The sequence below is a fragment of the Homo sapiens genome, chromosome 6 (assembly GCF_000001405.40).
Source record: "Homo sapiens chromosome 6, GRCh38.p14 Primary Assembly".
Classification (NCBI taxonomy): Eukaryota; Metazoa; Chordata; class Mammalia; order Primates; family Hominidae; genus Homo; species Homo sapiens.
Genome location: NC_000006.12, coordinates 131,089,577 through 131,109,239, shown reverse-complemented (window position 1 = coordinate 131,109,239; position 19,663 = coordinate 131,089,577). Strand labels below are relative to the sequence as shown.

Below are 19,663 nucleotides of genomic sequence, written 5' to 3'. Positions count from 1 at the left end.
AGTGGGGACACAGAGCCAAACCACATCAGACCCCAAGTCTAATATGGTCTGAATGTTTGTGTCTCCCAAAAATTCATGTGTTGAAACCTGATGTCCAATGTGATAGTATTAAGAGTTGGTGTCTTTGAGAGGTGATTAGGTGCCATCTATGAGAAAGCAGGCTCTCACCAGACACCCACTGAATCTGCCAGCACCTTGATCTTGGACTCCCTACCTCTAGACTGTGAGAAAAAAAAAAACCAACTGTTATTTACAGTACCCAGTTATGTACTCAGTTATAAATAGGTCAGTTTATTGTATTTAGTTATAGCAGCCTAAATGGATTAAACAAAGTTTAATATTCTTACTATCACAATGTATTAATTCCCATTCTAGTGAGTACTGGGGATAGTAGTGATGGTGGTAACTTTTAAACATACAAAAATATGTCAAACACTACCCCTCAAACTGAGAATAAGATGACTAGGAGAAAGGAGACATAACTATCAAACTTTAAGGCAAATGCTGTGTATAAAGTTATTGAATGAATGGTTTTAAAAGTATTCTTATACTACTGCATGAAGAATTAAGCTGAAGAGCAAGAAGAACTTTTTTCTTTCTTTCTTTCTTTCTTTCTTTCTTTCTTTCTTTCTTTTTTCTTTCTTTCTTTCTTTCTTTCTTTCTTTTGAGATGGGGTCTCGCTCTGATATGGTTTGGCTGTGTCCCCACTGAAATCTCAATTCGAGTTGTATCTCCCAGAATTCCGACACGTTGTAGGAGGGACTTAGTGGGAGGTAATTGAATCATGGGGGCTGATTTTTCCTGTGCTATTCTTGTGATAGTGAATAAGTCTCATGAGATCTGATGGGCTTATCAGGGGTTTCTGCTTTTGCTTCTTCCTCATTTTTCTCTTGTTGCCAATGTAAGAAGTGCCTTTCACCTCTCACCGTGATTCTGAGGCCTCCCCAGTCATGTGGAACTGTAAGTCCAATTAGACCTCTTTCTGTTCCCAGTTTCAGGTATGTCTTTATCAGCAGCATGAAAACAAACTAATACACACTGTCACCCAGGCTGGACTGCAGTGGTGCAAACATGACTCACTGCAGCCTACACCTCATGGGTTCTAGCGATTCTCCTGCCTCAGCCTCCCAAGTAGCTGGGACTGCAGGCACACATCACCAAGCCCAGCAAATGTTTGCATTTTTTGTAGAGACGAGGTTACGCCATGTTGCCCAGGCTGGTTTTGAACTCCTGAGCTCAGGCAATCTACCTGCCTCAGCCTCCCAAAGTGCTGGGATTATAGGTGTGAGCCACGGTGTCCAGCCTTCAGAAATTTTTAAGAGTTTAGTTGTGATATTCTGAAATATCTAAGCCCAGGAAGTTGTGTCTCTGGATAATTATTAAGTTTTTGTTTGTTTGTTTTGTTTTGTTTTGTTTTTTGAGATGGAGTCTCACTCTGTCACCCAGGCTGGAGTGCAGTGTCATGATCTCGGCTCACTGCAACCTCCACCTCCTGGGGTTCAAGCTATTCTCCTGCCTCAGCCTCCCAAGTAGCTGGGACTACAGGTGCACACCACCACGCCCAGCTAATTTTTGTATTTTTAGTAGAACGGGGGCTTTACCATGTTGGCCAGGCTAGTCTTGAACCCCTGACCTCAGATGATCCACCCACCTCAGCCTCCCAAAGTGCTGGGATTACAGGCATGAGCCACTGCACCTGGCCTAATTATTACTATTAAAGAGCAAACTTATCTTTTGGGAATGATTCCAGCGTAGTCCTGCTTAAAGTCAGCAGCTGCATGAAATGTTTCCCTTCCAGTTCTGTTATTCTATGATACTCCCTCTAGGAAGAGGGTGTTTTTCCCTCCACTTTATCTCCTATACAGTCATTGTGAAAGACTTTGTAATCTCAGATAAGAATATGCTTTTTGAAGTATGTGTCATCAAGCTCTGTGCAAATGTGAGGCAGAAACAAGTATGCTTTTCCTTGGCTTCTTGCTGAGGTCACACACTACCAGATTTGCCAGAGTTATTCACTCATTAATTTATCTGATAAACATTTATTTTACATACACTATGTACTTGATTTGTAGATTATAAAACAACTTTAGTAAAACCATTTCCTATCTAATAGATTTTGAGTGGCCTTGTCAAAACCAATTCTAGTGACACATATGAATTATTATCTTCATTAGAAAGCAGTTTCAAGTGCCTGGAACCCTAAGGCTAGGTAATACATGAAGGAAACTAAACAAGCATCCTTTTGTCATTCAGGGCAGGGGTCAGCAAACTTTTCTGTGAAGGGCCAGATTGTGAACATTTTAGGATTTTAGGGCCATATGGTCTTTGTTGCAATGACTTAAATCTCCCTTGCAGTGCAAAAGCAACCATACAAAGTATGTGAATGAATGAACATGGCCATGTTCCCATGAAACTTTACTGATGGGCTTAAATTTGAATTTCACATAGTTTTCATGTAACACAAAATATTACTTTTTTGACATTCTAGAAACCACTTAAAATGTGAAAACCATTCTCATCTTGCAAATCATACAAAAACAAGGCAGTGGATCATCATTTGCTAATCCCTGATCTAAGGAAAAAAGAAAATATAGTTGTAGATGAACAGAAAGGACATGCAGGCAATATAATAAAATGTCAAAATAAATATAAAACTAAAAGGTAAATATTTAAAATATGTTAATGTCAAGAGTCTGAAAGATGATAAAGTGTTATGTGGGTTTCATTTCTGGATGGAGCAGATTTGGCTCTCCTTAGATGAGTAATTTCAGCCATCGGTAGAGAAGGACTCCAAATGACTGCATTCTAAAAGATAAAAAATAAGGACTTATTTTCAAATGTGTCACAGCGCTTAGCCTTATGTTGTCTGGAAGTTGAAGTGCTTCCCACACAACCCTCTGTACTTAGCTACTATTTTTGTTTTTTAAATAACTGACCTGAATTTCCAAAACTATGTGTTACTTGCAGAAAGTATGGTAGACAAAGGAGAAATGGTATATTACAAGAAACCTCTTGATAAGCTCTCTTAATAAAATCAAACTCTAGCCATCAAGGTTTAGAATGGAGGTAGGGTGTTCAAGTGAAGACTGTGACTAGAGCTAGGAGTGGGGACTGGAACTCACAGACCTGATTGGAGTCTCTAGAAGCTCCCCACGTTGACCATCTCCTGTGCCTGGCCTCACATCCTTTTGCCTGTCTTTAGTTTAGTTATTACTCCTGTTGGAAACAGCTTCATGTCTTATCACCCAAGAACAACTTTCCTCAGTTTTATTTATTTATTTATTATTGCTTTTTATTTTTGAGACAGGGTCTCACTCTCTTGCCCAGGCTGGAGGGCAATGGTGCCACCATGGCTGTCTGCAACCTCAGCCTCCTGGGCTCAAGCAATCCTCCCACCTCAGCCTCCAGAGTAGCTAAGACTGCAAGCGTGCACCACCACCACATCCAGTTAGTTTTTGGGTTTTCTTGTTTGTTTGTTTGTTTTTGTTTTTGTTGTTGTTGTTGTTTTGTAGAGACAGGGTCTCGCTATGTTGCCCAGCTTGGTCTTGAACTCCTGGCCTCAAGTGATCCTCCCACCTCAACCTCCCAAAGTGTTGGGATTACAGGCGTGAGCCATCGAGCTCGGTCCAGTTGAACTGTTTAACTCTCATGTTTTATCCTGGGACTATCCTATCCTGGGATAGCATAAGGTGGGATGTCTGCAGAGACCTACCTGGCATTCAAGCGAGTGCACACTGGAAGTGTGAGGGAATCAGTGCCCCATGGACAGTCCCCTTGCCTGGTTGGGACAGGAGATAGTGAGTCAATCAAATGTTCCCCTTTTCCTTCCCTTAACAGACAATTCTGAGGCTCCTTGGAAGGTCCTGGCAAGATAGCATCCTTTTATTGGCTTTTTTTTTCCTTTGAGGGTCAGTTTAATATTCCAAGCTGTTTTTACTCATAATACTTTTGGCACCAAATGTGTGGGTTGTTTCCATGCCAACAACCAGTTCTCCAACCTTCCAGATACCAACTGGGTATCCTACAATTGAATTCAATTCCTACAGTAACTAACTGGAGTCGTGTCAGATTCCGCAGACTCACTCCCACAAAACTGCCTTCGTTTCAGATGCCAGTTGCAAGTATCTTGCTTCCATCAGTACTTCTGACCAACTGACTATTAATCACAGGTTCCTATGACCCCTTCCTCAGGTTTTATAATTTGCTAGAATGGTTGATAAAACTTGGGAAAAGACTTTATTTATTATCACTGCTAATTACTAAAGGAGAGAAATGAACAGGCAGCTGAGGAGATACACAGGGAGAGATCTTGAAGAGTCCTGAGCACAGGAACTTCTGTCCCCGTGGAATTGGGGTGTGCCTCCCTCTCAGCATGTAGATGTGTTCTACAACCCTGAAACTGTCTGAATCGTATTGTTTAGGGGTTTTATGGAGGTTCCATCATGTAGGCATGATTGATTAAATTTTGGCCATTGGTAATTGAACTCAATCTCCAGCCCCTCTCCCCTCCTCAGAGATCTAGGAATGGGGCTGAAATTTCCAACCCTTTAATCACATGGTTAATTCCTCTGGCAACCAGCTCCCATCCTAAAGCTATCTAGGGGCCCAACAAGGACTGGGTGCAGTAGCTCACGTCTGTAATCCTAGCACTTTTGTAGGTCAAGGTGGGAGGATTGCTTGAGCCCAGGGATTCAAGCCAGTCTGGACAGCAAAGCAAGAACTATTCTCCACAAAAAATTTAAAAATTAGCTGGGCATGGTGGCACACACCTGTGGTCCCAGCTATTCAGGAGGCTTAGGCGGAAAGGTCATTTGAGCCCAGGAGGTGGAGACTGCAGTGAGCCATGATCGCGTCACTGCATTCCAGCCTGGGCTACAGAGTGAGACCCTGTCACACACACACACACACACACACACACAATTCTGTGTCAGTAACTGGGGTCTAAACTAAGTATGTACTTCTTATTATATCACAGGTATCCAGAGTGTCTTAGTCTGCTCAGACTGCCGTAACAAAGGATCATAGGTGGCTTAAACAACAGAAATTTAGATTCTTGTCATTATGAAGGCAGGAGTTGTAGATCAAGGTCCAATAGGGCTGGTTCCTAGTAAAGGTCTTCTTTCTGGCTTGTAGACAGCTGCAGTGTTGCTGTGCCCTCACATGGCCTTTCCTCAGAGACACTGAGAAGAGAGGAAGTCCTCTGGTATCTTTTCTAGTAAGGGCATTCATCTCATTGGACCAGGGCCCAACTCCCATAAACTCATCTAACTCTAATTACCTCTCTAAGGCCCCATCTCCAGTACTATGACATTGGGGATTCAAGCTTCACCATACTGGAGGACGCAAACATTCAGCCCATAACATAGTGTACGACATTCACCTTTACCGTGGGGAATTACTCTCTTGTTTTTACTGGCTCAAATATCCAGCCTCAGGAGCCACTATGCATCCTTTAGTGCTCTGATCCAATCTTGGTGTTGGTAGTCATAATCAGGGAAATGAATCCCTTTAGTTATATCCTTGGACAATCTCAGTGATATTACCAATTATCAATTATATGTTCAATTAATTATTGAACATATGGCCAATTATAGGTTAGCCACGCTAATATTATATGTACAATACAGGCTGTAAAAAAGATTCCCTCTTAGTTCTCTGAGGGCCTCAGTGGTTTTACTTGCAGCTCTGATGACTGATACCACATTTGCCCACGTCAGAGGTTCTAGATCCTGGCTGCATAACAGAATCAGCAGGGGAGGTTTGGAAAAATAACAAGGTCTGATCCCACATCCAAAGTCTGATATAGTTGTTCTGGTGCAGGGATTGAAGACTCAGAAGGTTTTAATTCTAACGTGCAGGCTCAGAATATAGGTCACTGCCCTGTGTGGGCCTATACAAACTGCTCACTGCTCACTGCGAGTTTTCCTACTTGACAAACAGTGACCTTTGAAAATGACTTACTAAATACTCTTAAGTAATTTGGGGCTGGATTTATCAAGAGTCCAGGCAACGGTTAATTGTAAAAGTTCTTCCAATCACTCAGGAGAAAGTAAGTACGATAACATTGAAAAAAAAACATTGTACACCAATGTTCAGTGAAGCATTTTGTACAGTAACCAGAAGGTGGGAGAAATCCAAATGTCCATCGATGGATGAAAGGATAACCAAAATGTAGTACATACATACAATAGAATATTGCTCAACCTTAAAACAGAAGGAAATTCTGATACATCTACAGCATTCATCAACCTTGAAACATTGTGCTGAGCGAAATAAGCCAGATACAAAAGGACAAATATTGTATGATTCCACTCCACTTATATGAGGTACCCGGAATAGGCAAATTCATAGAAACAGAAAGTAGATTAGAGGTTACCAGGAGCTGGTGGGTAATAGGGAGTGGATGGGATAATGGACAGTTGGTGTTTAGTGAGTACAGAGTTTCTGTTAGTGATGATAGAAAAATAGCAGAAAGTATTACATTACTTTCAATGGCAAAATCCACAATTACCTTGGCACCAACCTAATACTTAATGCCACTGAATTGTACAGTTAGAATGGTAAATTTTATTTTATGTATATTTTACCACAATAAAACAAAACCTCCTCTTTTCAGGTATGATAGTTCTGAACGAAGATTGAAGCTGTTCTGTAGTTCTGAGGGTTATCATACCACTGAGAGTAAAAGGTAAGTTGGTAACAGTGAAAGAGAAACCTCATTTAATGAATGTTTTTGGAATGTATCATCAGTCTGAAGTCACTATAAAACGATGTACTTGCAGGACATTTTTCAGTGTGATAAATATTTAAATAACAGTAAGTATGTTTAAGCCCTTTAAAAGAAAAAAAAACAGTGCTTTCGGTTTGGAATTTACTTTTCTAAATTTTTTGACATCGAAATTAATGTTTGAAAATAATAAAAGTAATGATGATCTGATCAACTTAATCTGGTATCATAACTCCAGAGTTGTAGATACAATAGTAGAGGGTGTGTAGCCCTCAGCTTTAAAGATTATCAACTAATGATTAACATAACGTTGGGACAGGTGCTGTAAAGGATGGAGATTATCATGCTTTTGGAATTTCTGACTCACACTATAGTCTGCCATAAAGAGCAGTATAAAAAAGGATTTGTTCAGATTGAAGGAAATCACATAATTAGTCTTTTAGTGGCAGTAAGGACTGCATGTTTTAAGATAATTCTAGGTGAAAAGGCCTTCCTGTAGATTAACTGTTACCAGCTCCCTTTTTCCTGTCTGACTGTCAACTTATGCAAAATTTTACTCCTTTCAAATTTGGATAATACCTCTCTTTCTTTGCTTGCTATTAACGTGATTAATCTGTTTCTTTTCTTTTTTTTTTTTTTTTTTTTGAGACGGAGTATCACTCTGTCTCCCAGACTGTAGTGCGGTGGCGCAATCTCTGCTCAGCGCAAGCTCCACCTCCTGGGTTCACGCCATTCTCCTGCCTCAGCCTCCCAAGTAGCTGGGACTACAGGCGCCCGCCACCATGCCTGGCTAAATTTTTGTATTTTTAGTAGAGTCGGGGTTTCATCGTGTTAGCCAGGATGGTCTCAATCTCTTGACCTCGTGATCCGCCCACCTCGGCCTCCCAAAGTGCTGGGATTACAGGCTTGAGCCACCGCACCCAGCCTAATCTGTTTCTTGTACCTTCATTTCTCTCTTTCTGCCTCTCTCTCACATGAAGTCTTTTTCCATGGTACCATATTCTCAGAAATTATAATGAATGTAATGAGAAAAAGAGTAACTCATCATTTCAATGTTTTCTTTGCAAACAGCTTTTCAGTTACAACTCAGTGGTATTACATGATGGCGTTTATGTCAACAATTCTTAACCTTCTTACTCTCAGGGACATGGGGATGCTCTTCTCCAGATGTTTACTAAACTCTCCTGCAGATGAGATTTTATGTTACAAAAAAATTTCAGAGTTGAATGAATGAATAAAGAGAAGAGACAGAAGTTGTCTAAAACATTCAAGTTTATAAAGACATTTACAGAATGTCCTGGAGTCCTTCAGCTCTCCTGTGATGAAATTCCCTTTCACATCTCTCACATAACGACAACTTGTCTCAAAGTGAAGAGACTTTTGTGATGAATACTCTGTCTTCATTCAGAAAGGAATTTCCTTATCCCTAAGTGCTAAGTGGTTGAGGATCCCATCTTACCCAATTTTTGTTCCTTGCCTACCAATAGCGGCCTCACTGTGTGTATATGTGTGTGTGTGTGTGTGTGTGTGTGTGTGTGTGTGTGTGTGTGTGGTCAGAGACTGGCACCTTGCTTTTCCTCCCTGCCTTCTAATTTGACTGAGGACTTCTAGGAGCTTCCCTTTCCTTCCCTGCTTCCTTAGGGAATCTTCAATAGTTAGAGGGCTACATTTTGAGAAGGTGTTTTCCTATGGGCTATAGTTGAACATCAGAATCAATTTTCACAAAGAAGCGATGTTGCCCAAGAAAATATGTCCTGTAGCATAAGCAAATGGAAAAACATTCCATCCTCATGGATAGGAAGAATCAATATTGTGAAAATGGCCATACTGCCCAAAGTAATTTATAGATTCAGTGCTATTCCCATCAAGATATTTGATATTCTTCACAGAATTAGAAAAAACTACTTTAAATTTCATATGGAATCAAAGAAGACCCCATATAGCCAAGAGAATCCTAAGCGAAAAGAACAAACCAGAGGCATCACACTACCTGACTTCGACTATACTACCAGGCTACAGTAACTAAAACAGCATGGTACTGGTACCAAAACAGACATATAGACAAATGGAACAGAACAGAGACCTCAGAAATAACACCACACATCTACAGCTATCTGATCTTCAACAAACCTGACAAAAACAAGCAATGGGAAAAGGATTTCCTATTCAATAAATAGTCCTGGGAAAACTGGCTAGCCATATGCACAAAACTAAAACTGGACCCGTTCCTTACACCTTATACAAAAATTAACTGAGGATGGATTAAAGACTTAAATGTAAAACCCAAAACCATAAAACCCCTAGAAGAAAACCTAGGCAATTTCATTCAGGACATAGGCATGGGCAAAGACTTCATGACAAAAATGCCAAAAGCAATTGCAACAAAAGTAAAAACGGACAAATGGAGTCTAGTTAAACTAAAGAGCTTCTGCACAGCAAAAGAAACTATCATCAGGGAGAACAGGCAACCTACAGAATGGGAGAAAATTTTGGCAATCTACCCATCTGACAAAGGTCTAATATCCAGAATTTACGAGGAACTTAAACAAATTTACAAGAAAAAAGCAAACAACCGCATCAAAAAGTGGGCAAAGGATATGAACAAACACTTCTCAAAAGAAGACATTTATGTGGCCAACAAACATATGAAAAAAAGCTCAACATCACTGATCATTAGAGAAATGCTACTGAAAACCATAATGAGATACCATCTCATGCCAGTCAGAATGGCAATTATTAAAAAGTCAAGAAACAATAGATGCTAGGGAGGCTGAAATAGGAATGCTTTTACACTATTGGGAATGTAAATTAGTTCAACCATTATGGAAGACAGTATGGTGATTCCTCAAGGATCTTGAACCAGAAATATGATGTGACCCAGCAATCCCATTACTGGTTATATACCAAAAGGAATATAAATCATTCTACTATAAAGACACATGCACACATATGTTTATTGTAGCACTATTTACAATAGCAAAGTCATGGAACCAACCCAACTGCCCATCAATGATAGACTGGATAAAGAAAATGTGGCACATATACACCACGAAATACTATGCAGCCATAAAAAAGGATGAGTTCATGCCCTTTGCAGGGACACAGATGAAGCTAGAAGCCATCATCCTCAGCAAACTAACACAGGAACAGAAAACCAAACACCGCATGTTCTCACTCATAAGTGGGAGTTGAATAATGAGAATACATGGACACAGGTAGGTGAATAATACACACCAGGGCCTGTTAGGGGTTGGGGGGTGAGGGAAGGAAACTAAGAGGACAGGTCAAAAGGTGCAGCAAACCACCATGGCACAGGTATACCTATGTAACAAACCTGTTCGTTCTTCACATGTATCCCAGAGCTTAAAATTAAAACAAAAATAGAAAAGGAAATATTAAGAAAAAGGAATATGTGTCCCATAGGCATATGGATAAATACACAGTTGAGCTACATTGTGGCTCTCCAATCATTCATTTGTTGGTTTGACATGTATGTATTTATTTATCAAATGACTGCTATATCCTATGCACTATTTTACAGACTAGGTATTAAGGACTCTTATTCTAGTGGGGACAGTTAAAAAGGTAAACAACTAAACTATATAGAGTGATATATCCAAGAAACATCCGAGAAAAAATAATAAAGCAGAGAAGGCAGAGTAAGGAAGAATGGTTACGCTATGTTAGATAGGGTGGTGAGAGAAGTCTTCTCTGAGGAGATAACATTTTAATAAAGACCTGAAGGAGGCCAGGCATGGTGGCTCACACCTGTAATCCCAGCACTTTGGGAGGCTGAAGCAGGAGGATCACTTGTGGTCAGGAGTTCGATACCAGCCTGGCCAACATGGTGAAACCCTGTCTCTACTAAAAATACAAAAATTAGCCGGGCATGGTGGTGAGCACCTGTAATCCCAGCTACTCAGGAGGCTGGGGCAGGAGAATCTCTGGAACCCAGGAGATGGAGGTTGCAATGAGCTGAGATCGTGCCACTGCACTCCAGCCTGGGTGACAGAGTAAGATTCCATGTCAAAAAAAAAAAAAAAGAAAAAGAAAGAAAAACCTGAAGGAGAAGAAAGTCTTGCATGAAACCGAGGGAAGAACATTCCAGGCAGAGGATTCGGCAAGTACAAAGGATCTACCTAAGGTAGTTGTGAATGTGTGTTCCAGGAAGAGCAAGAAGACCAGTGAGGATAGAGTACAATAAAAGAATGGAAGTACATTAGGGAATGAGGACAGAGAAGTGCAGATGGACAAACCCTATGAAAAAATTGCAAGGACTTCGGTTCTGCTCTAAGTAACATGGAAAGCTACAAGGGATTTGAGCAGATGTCTGACATGATCTGACTTTTATTTTAAAGTTCATGCTGGATACAGTATTGAGAAAAGTCTGAAGGGGATGTGGGTGAGAGTAGAAACATCGAAACTAGTTAGGAGGTTATTGCAATAATAGGTGAGAAATCAGGGTTGTTTAGAACAAGATAAGAGCGGTAGAGATGATGAAAGGAAATATATCTGGAAATATGTGAAAGTCAAGTTAATAAGCCAATGTCTATGGATACAATAAGGGATGAGCAAAAAAATAGCGTTGAGATGACTGGGTCTTATTGAAGTGTTGCAGTGTCAATCTCCAGTTGAAATCTATACTATCAATAATGCTTATGATTACAGATGAGAAAACAGAAGTTCAGAGAGGTTAGGTAATTCACCTACAGTCACGCAGGGTGCAGGAGGAGGAAGCAAGGTTTAAACCCAGATCTATTTGATCAGAATCCATACTTTTAAACAGTACTACTTAATAACATACTTTTTAAAGAAAACTTTTATTTTAAGTTAAGGGTTACATGTGCAAATTTGTTATATAGGAAAGTTGTGTCATGGGATTTGTTGTATAGATTATGTCATAACCCATAATCTATGGGTACCTATTAGTTATTTTTCCTGATCCTCTCCCTTCTCCCACACTCCACCCTCCAATAGGCCTCAGCGTGTGTTGTTTCCATCTATGTGCCCATGTATTCTCACCATTTAACTCCCACTTATAAGTGAGAACATGCAGTATTTGGTTTTCTGTTCCTGTGTTAGTTTGCTAAGGATAATGGCCTCTAGCTCCATGCATATTTCTGCAAAGAACATATCATTCTTTTTAGGGCTGCATAGTATTCCGTGGTGTATATGTACCAAATTTTCTTTATCCAGTCTTCTATTGATGGGCAGTTAGGTTGATTCTATGTCTTTGCTATTGTGAATAGTGCTGCAATGAACATATGCATGCATGTTTGTTTATAATAGAATGATTTATATTTCTTTGGGTATATACTCAGTAATGGGATTGCTGGTTGAATGATATTCCTGTTTTTAGGCCTTTGAGAAATCACCACACTGTCTTCCACAGTGGTTGAACTAATTTACGCTCCTACCAACAGTGTATAAGCGTTCCTTTATCTCCACAACCTCACAAGTGTCTGTTATTTTTTGGTGTTTTATAATAGCCATTCTGACTAGTGTAAGATGGTATCTCATTGTGGTTTTGATTTGCATTCCTCTAATGATCAGTGATGCTAAGCTTTTTTTCATATGACTGTTGGCCTCATGTATGTCTTCTTTTGAAAAGTGTTCGTGCCCTTTGCCCACTTTTTAATGGGGTTGGTTTTTTTTCTTGTAAATTTAAGTTATTTATGGATGCTAGACATTAGACCTATGCCAGATGTGTAGTTTGCAAATTTTTTCTCCCATTCTGTAGGCTGTCTGTTCACTCTGTTGATAGTTTATTTTGCTGTGCATAAGTTCTTTAGTTTAATTAGCTCCTATTTGTTAATTTTTGCTTCTGTTGCAATTGCTTTTGGCATTTTCATCATCAAATCTTTGCCTGTTCCTATGCCCACAATGGTATGGCCCAGATTGTCTTCCAGGGTTTTTAATTTGGGGTTTTACATTTCAGTCTTTAATCCATCTTGTGTTAATTTTTGTATATGGTGTAAGGAAGGGATCCAGTTTCACTCTTCTGCATATGTCTGGCCAGTTTTCACAGTACCATTTATTGAATAGGGAATCCTTTCCTCATTGTGTGTTTTTGTCAGGTTTGTCAAAGATCAGCTAGTTGTAGGTGTGCAGCCTTAGTTCTGGGTTCTCTATACTGTTCCATTGGTCTATGTTTTTGTACCCGTACCATGCTGTTTTGATTACTGTAGAACTGTAGTATAGTTTGAAGCTGGGTAGTGTGATGTCTCCAGCTTTGTTCTTTTTACTTAGGATTGCCTTGGCTATTTGGGCTCTTTTTTAGGTTCCATATGAATTTTAAAATAGTTTTTTCTACTTCCGTGAAAAAATGTCATTGATAGTTTAATAGGAATAGCACTGAATCTATGAATTGCTTTGGGCAGAATGACCATTTTAACAACATTGATCCATCCTATCCATGAGCATGGAATGTTTTTCCATTTGTTTGTGCCATCTCTGATTTCTTTGAGCAGTGTTTTGTAGTTCTTGTTGTAGAGATCTTTCACCTCCCTGGTTAGCTGTATTCCTAGGTATTTTATTTTGAGTGTGTGGCAATTTTGAATGGGATTTCATTCCAATTTGGCTCTCAGCTTGACTGTGTATAGGAGGGCTAGTAATTTTTGCACATTGATTTAGTATCCTGAAATTTTGCTGAAGTTGTTTGTCAGCTTAAGGAGCTTTTGGACCAAGACTATGGGGTTTTCTGAATATAGGATCATGTCTGAAAACAGGAATAGTTTGACTTCCTCTCTTCCTATTTGGATACTATTTATTTCTTTCTTTTGCTTGATTGTCTTGTGCTGGTTTTCAAGGAAAATGCTTCTAGCTTTTGCCCATTCAGTATGATGTTGGCTGTGGGCACTTATTATTTTGAGCTACGTCCTTTCGATACCTAGTTTATTGAGAGTTTTTAACATGAAGTGGTGTTAAATTTTATCAAAAGCATTTTCTGCATCTATTGAGACAATTATGTGGGTTTTGTCTTTAGTTCTGTTTATGTGATGAATCCTATTTATCAATTTGTTTATGTTGACCCAACCTTGCATCTCATAGATAAAGACTACTTTGTCATGGTGGAAAAACTTTTTGATGTGCTGCTGGATTAGGTTTGCCAGTATTTTGTTGAGAATTTTTGCATCAATGTTCATCAAGGATATTGGCCTGAAGTTTCTTTTTTTTGTTGTCTCCCCCAGGTTGGTATCAGGATAATACTGGCCTCACAGAATGAGTCTGGAAAAAATCCCTCCTTCTCAATTTTTTGGACTAGTTTAAGCAGGAATGGCATCAGCTCTTCTTTGTACATCTGGTAAAATTCAGCTGTGAATCTGTTTGGTCCCGAGAATTTTTTGGTTGGTAGCTTATTTATTACTGACTCAATTTCAGAGCTCATTATTGGTGTGTTTGCAGATTCAATTTCTTCCTTGTTCAGTCTTGGAAGGATTTATATGTCCAGAAATCTATCCATTTCTGCTAGATTTTCTGGTTTATGTGCTTAGAGGTGTTCATAGTATTCTCTGATGGTTATTTGTATGTCTGTGGGATCAGTGGTAATATCCCCCTTGACATTTCTGGTTGTGTTTCTGTGAATCTTTTTTCTTCTTTCTTAGTTTATCTAGTGGTCTATATTATTAATTTTTTCAAAAAACCAGTTCCTGGATTCATTGATCTTTTGAATAGTTTTGTGTGTCTCAATCTCCTTCAATTCAGCTCTCATTTTGATTCTTTCTTCTCTTTTGCTAGCTTGGGATTGGTTTGCTCTTGGTTCTCTATTTCTTTTAGTTGTGATGTAATAATAGGTTGGTAAATTGAGATCTTTCTGTTTTTTTTCTTTTTCTTTTTCTTTTTTTTTTTGAGACAGGGTCTCACTCTGTCACCCAGGCTGGAGTGCAGTGGTGCAATCTTGGCTCACTGTAACCTCTACCTCCCCAGTTCAAGCAATCCTCATGCCTCTTCCTCCTGAGTGGCTGGGACTGCAGGTGTACCCCACCATAACCAGCTAATTTTTGTATTTTTAGTAGAGGTGGGTTTTGCCTTATTGGCCAGGCTGGTCTCAAACTCCTGACCTTAGGTGATTCACTCACCTTGGCCTCCCAAAATGCTGGGATAACAGGTGTGAGGCACCATGCCCAGCCCTTTCTAACTTTTTTATTGGTCATTTAGTGCCATAAATTTCCCTCTTAACACTGCCTTAGCTGTGTCCCCGAGATTCTGGTGTGTTGTTTCTTTGTCCTCTTTAGTTTCAAAGAACATCTTGATGTCTGCCGTAATTTTATTATTTACCCAAAAGTCATTCAGAAGCAGGTTATTCAATTTCCAAGTAATTGTATGGTTCTGAGGGAATTTCTTGGTCTCGATTTCTAATTTGTTTGTGCTGTGGTCCAAGAGATTGTTTGTTATGATTTCAGTTTTTTTGCGTTTGCTGAGGAGGGTTTACTTCTGATTATGTGATCGATTTTAGAGTAAGTGCCAAATAGCAGTGAGAAGAAGGTATATTCTCTTGTTTTGGGATGGAGAGTTCTGTAGACGTCTATCAGGTCCATTTGATCCAGCGCTGAGTTCAGGTCCTGAATATCTTTGTTAATTTTCTATCTTCATGATCTGTCTAATATTGACAGTGGGGTGTTAAAGTCTCCCATTATTGTGGGAGTCTCCATCTCTTTGAAGGTCTCTAAGAACTTGCTTTATGAATCTGGGTGCTCTTGCGTTGGGTATATATATATATATATATATATACACATATATATATATATATATATATATGATAGTAAGATTTTCTTGTTGAATTGAACTCTTCACCATTATGTAATGACCTTCTTTGTGTTTTTGATCTTTGTTGGTTTAAAGTCTGTTTTGTCTGAAAGTAGGATTGCATCCTCTGCTTTTTTCTGTGTTTCAATTTGCTTGGTAGATGTTTATGCATCCCTTTATTTTGAGTGTATGTGTGTCACTGCATGTGAGATATGCAAGTTGGATAAAGCACCAAGACCTGCTGGTGTGCTGTCTTCAAGAGACTGGATAAAGAAGACAGCATACCAATGGGTCTCCGTTCTTTATCCAGTGGGCCACTCCATGTCTTTTAATTGGGGCATTTAGCCAATTTACATTCAAGGTTAGTATTGATATATGTGGATTTGTTCTGTTCATCATGATGTTACATGGTTATTTTGCAGACTTGTTTACATGGTTGCTTTATAGTGTCACTGATCTGTGTACTTCAGTGTGTTTTTGTAGAGGCTGGTAACAGTCTTTCCTTTCCATGTTTAGTACTTTCTTCAGGAGCTCTTGTAAGGCAGGTTTAATGGCAATGAATTCCTTGAGCATTTGCTTTTTTGAAAAGGATCTTATTTCTTCCTCACTTAAGAAATTCTAGGTTGGAATTTTTCTTTCCTTTTTTTTTTTTTTTTTTTTTGAGACAGAATCTTGCTATGTCACCTGGGCTGGAGTGCAGTGGTGCAATCTTGGCTTGCTGCAACCTCCGCCTCCCGGGTTGAAGCAATTCTCCTGCCACAGCCACCCTAGTAGCTGGGATTACAGGTGCATACCACCACGCCCGGCTAATTTTGTATTTGTAGTAGAGACAGGGTTTCACCATGTTGGTCAGGCTGATCTCGAACTCCTGATGTCAGGTGATCTGCCTGCCTCAGCCTCCCAAAGTGCTGGGATTGCAGGTATGAGCCACCATGACCAGCCTCTTTTCTTTAAGAATGTTGAATATTGGCCCCAATCTTTTCTGGCTTGTAGGGTTTCAGCTGAGAGGCCTGCTGTTTCTCTAATGGACTTCACTTTGTAGCTGCCTTTAAGATTTTTTTTTCTTATATTCACTTTTTTATTTGGAATTTAAAAACTATAATCAGAGGCACATAATGGTCACATTCTTACTTTTTAAAATTTATGTTATATAGCTGTTAAATGCTTGTGTTAAAAAAGTTATAAAATTTCAAGCATACCCCAAAGCAGACAGAGTAGTATAATGACACCCATATATTCGTCATGCATTTGAACAATTAATGTCTTGTCAGTCTTGTTTCTTGTATCCCCTATCTATCCTTCCATCTTTTTTTTATATATACTTTAAGTTCTAGGGTACAGGTTTGTTACATATGTATACATGTGCCATGTTGGTGTGCTGCACCCATTAACTCGTCATTTACATTAGGTATATCTCCTAATGCTATCCCTACCACCTCCCCCCACCCCACGACAGGCCTCGTTGTATGATGTTCCCCATCCTGTGTCCAAGTGTTCTCATTATTCAATTCCCACCAATGAGTGAGAATATGCGGTGTTTGGTTTTCTGTCCTTGCGATAGTTTGCTCAGAATGATGGTTTCCAGCTTCATTCATGTCCCTACAAAGGACATGAACTCATCCTTTTTGATGGCTGAATAGTATTCCATGGTGTATATGTGCCACATTTTCTTAATCCAGTCTATCATTGACGGACATTTGGGTTGGTTCCAAGTCTTTGCTATTGTGAATAGTGCCGCAATAAACATACGTGTGCATGTGTCTTTATAGCAGCATGATTTATAATCCTTTGGGTATATGCCCAGCAATGGGATGGCTGGGTTAAATGGTATTTCTAGTTCTAGATCCTTGAGGAATCACTGCACTGTCTTCCACAATGGTTGAACTAGTTTACAGTCCCACCAGCAGTGTAAAAGTGTTCCTATTTCTCCACATTCTCTCCAGCATCTGTTTTTTCCTGACTTTTTAATGATCACCATTCTAACTGGTGTGAGATGGTATCTCATTGTGGTTCTGATTTGCATTCTCTGACGGCCAGTGATGACGAGCATTTTTTCATGTGTCTGTTGGCTGCATAACTGTCTTCTTTGGAGAAGTGTCTGTTCATATCCTTCGCCCACCTTTTGATGGGGTTGTTTGATTTTTTCTTGTAAACTTGTTTAAGTTCTTTGTAGATTCTGGATATTAGCCCTTTGTCAGATTAGTAGATTGTAAAAATTTTCTCCCATTCTGTAGGTTGCCTGTTCACTCTGATGGTGGTTTCTTTTGCTGTGCAGAAGCTCTTTAGTTTAATTAGATCCCATTTGTCAATTTTGGCTTTTGTTGCCATTGCTTTTGGTGTTTTAGACATGAAGTCCTTGCCCATGCCTATGTCCTGAATGGTATTGCCTAGGTTTTCTTCTAGGGTTTTTATGGTTTTAGGTCTAACATTTAAGTCTTTCATCCAACTTGAATTAATTTTTGTATAAGGTGTGAGGAAGGGTCCAGTTTCAGCTTTCTACATATGGCTAGCCAGTTTTCCCAGCACCATTTATTAAACAGGGAATCCTTTCCCCATTTCTTGGTTTTGTCAGGTTTGTCAAAGAGCAGATGGTTCTAGATGTGTGGTATTATTTCTGAGGGCTCTTTTCTGTTCCATTGGTCTATATCTCTGTTTTGGTACCAGTACCATGCTGTTTTGGTTACTGTAGCCTTGTAGTATAGTTTGAAGTCAGCTAGCGTGATGCCTCCAGCTTTGTTCTTTTGGCTTAGGATTGTCTTGGCAATGTGGGCTCTTTTTTGGTTCCATATGAACTTTAAAGTAATTTTTTCCAATTCTGTGAAGAAAGTCATTGGTAGCTTGATGGGGATGGCATTGAATCTATAAATTACCTTGGGCAGTATGGCCATTTTCACGATATTGATTCTTCCTATCCATGAGCATGGAATGTTCTTCCATTTGTTTGTGTCCTCTTTTATTTCATTGAGCAGTGGTTTGTAGTTCTCCTTGAAGAGGTCCTTCATGTCCCTTGTAAGTTGGATTCCTAGGTATTTTATTCTCTTTGAAGCAATTGTGAATGGGAGTTCTCTCATGATTTGGCTCTCTGTTTGTCTGTTATTGGTGTATAGGAATGCTTGTGATTTTTGCACATGGATTTTGTATCCTGAGACTTTGCTGAAGTTGTTTATCAGCTTAAGTTGCTTTGGGGCTGAGACAATGGGGTTTTCTAAATATACAGTCATGTCAACCGCAAACAGGGACAATTTGACTTCCTCTTTTCGCAATTGAATACTTTTATTTCTTTCTCCTGCCTGATTGCCCTGGCCAGAACTTCCAACACTATGTTGAATAGGAGTGGTGAGAGAGGGCATCCTGTCTTTTGCCAGTTTTCAAAGGGAATGCTTCCGGTTTTTGCCCATTCAGTATGATATTGGCTGTGGGTTTGTCATAGATGGCTCTTATTATTTTGAGATACGTCCCATCAATACCTAATTTATTGAGAGTTTTTAGCATGAAGGGCTTTTGAATTTTGTCAAAGGCCTTTTCTGCATCTATTGAGATAATCAGGTGGTTTTCTTCTTTGGTTCTGTTTATATGATGGATTACGTATATTGATTTGTGTATGTTGAACTAGACTTGGATCTCAGGGATGAAGCCAATTTGATCATGGTGGATAAGTTTTTGATGTGCTGCTGGATTCAATTTGTCAGTATTTTATTGAGGATTTTTGCATCGATGTTTATCAGGGATATTGGTCTAAAACTCTCTTTTTTGTTGTGTCTCTGCCAGGCTTTGGTATCAGAATGATGCTGGCCTCATAAAATTAGTTAGGGAGTATTCCCTCTTTTTCAGTTGATTGGGATAGTTTCAGAAGGAATGGTACCAGCTCCTCTTTGTACCTCTGGTAGAATTTGGCTGTGAATCTATCTGGTCCTGGACTTTTATGGTTGGTAGGCTATTCATTATTGCCTCAATTTCAGAGCCTGTTATTGGTCTCTTTAGGGATTCAACTTCTTCCTGGTTTAGTCTTGGGAGGGTATATGTGTCCAGGAATTTATCCATTTCTTCTAGATTTTCTAGTTAGTTTGTGTAGAGGTGTTTATAGTATTCTCTGATGGTAGTTTGTATTTCTGTAGCATCAGTGGTGATATCCCCTTTATCATTTTTTATTGCGTCTGTTTGATTCTTCTCTCTTTTCTTCTTTATTAGTCT

General features: G+C 39.4%; 1 long non-coding RNA gene across 2 annotated transcripts in view, besides 1 other annotated feature; it reads left to right on the top strand.

The window, feature by feature from the left end:
- The window catches only part of LOC102723445 (uncharacterized), a 45,370-nt gene that overhangs the window by 21,122 nt on the left and 4,585 nt on the right, over positions 1 to 19,663 (top strand). For both annotated transcript variants that reach the window (XR_428022.3, XR_942994.2), the window contains exon 3: positions 6,617 to 6,688. This is a non-coding gene — a long non-coding RNA (uncharacterized LOC102723445). The remainder of the gene's footprint in view (positions 1 to 6,616; positions 6,689 to 19,663) is intronic.
- Positions 4,005 to 4,174: an enhancer, noted in NCBI's record as "experimental_89797 CRE fragment used in MPRA reporter constructs". NCBI's record gives its function as "activates a minimal promoter by MPRAs in K562 erythroleukemia cells, with activity observed for the introgressed 6:131426291 variant allele {active_cell/tissue: K562}" and the evidence as "EXISTENCE:reporter gene assay evidence [ECO:0000049][PMID:34662402]".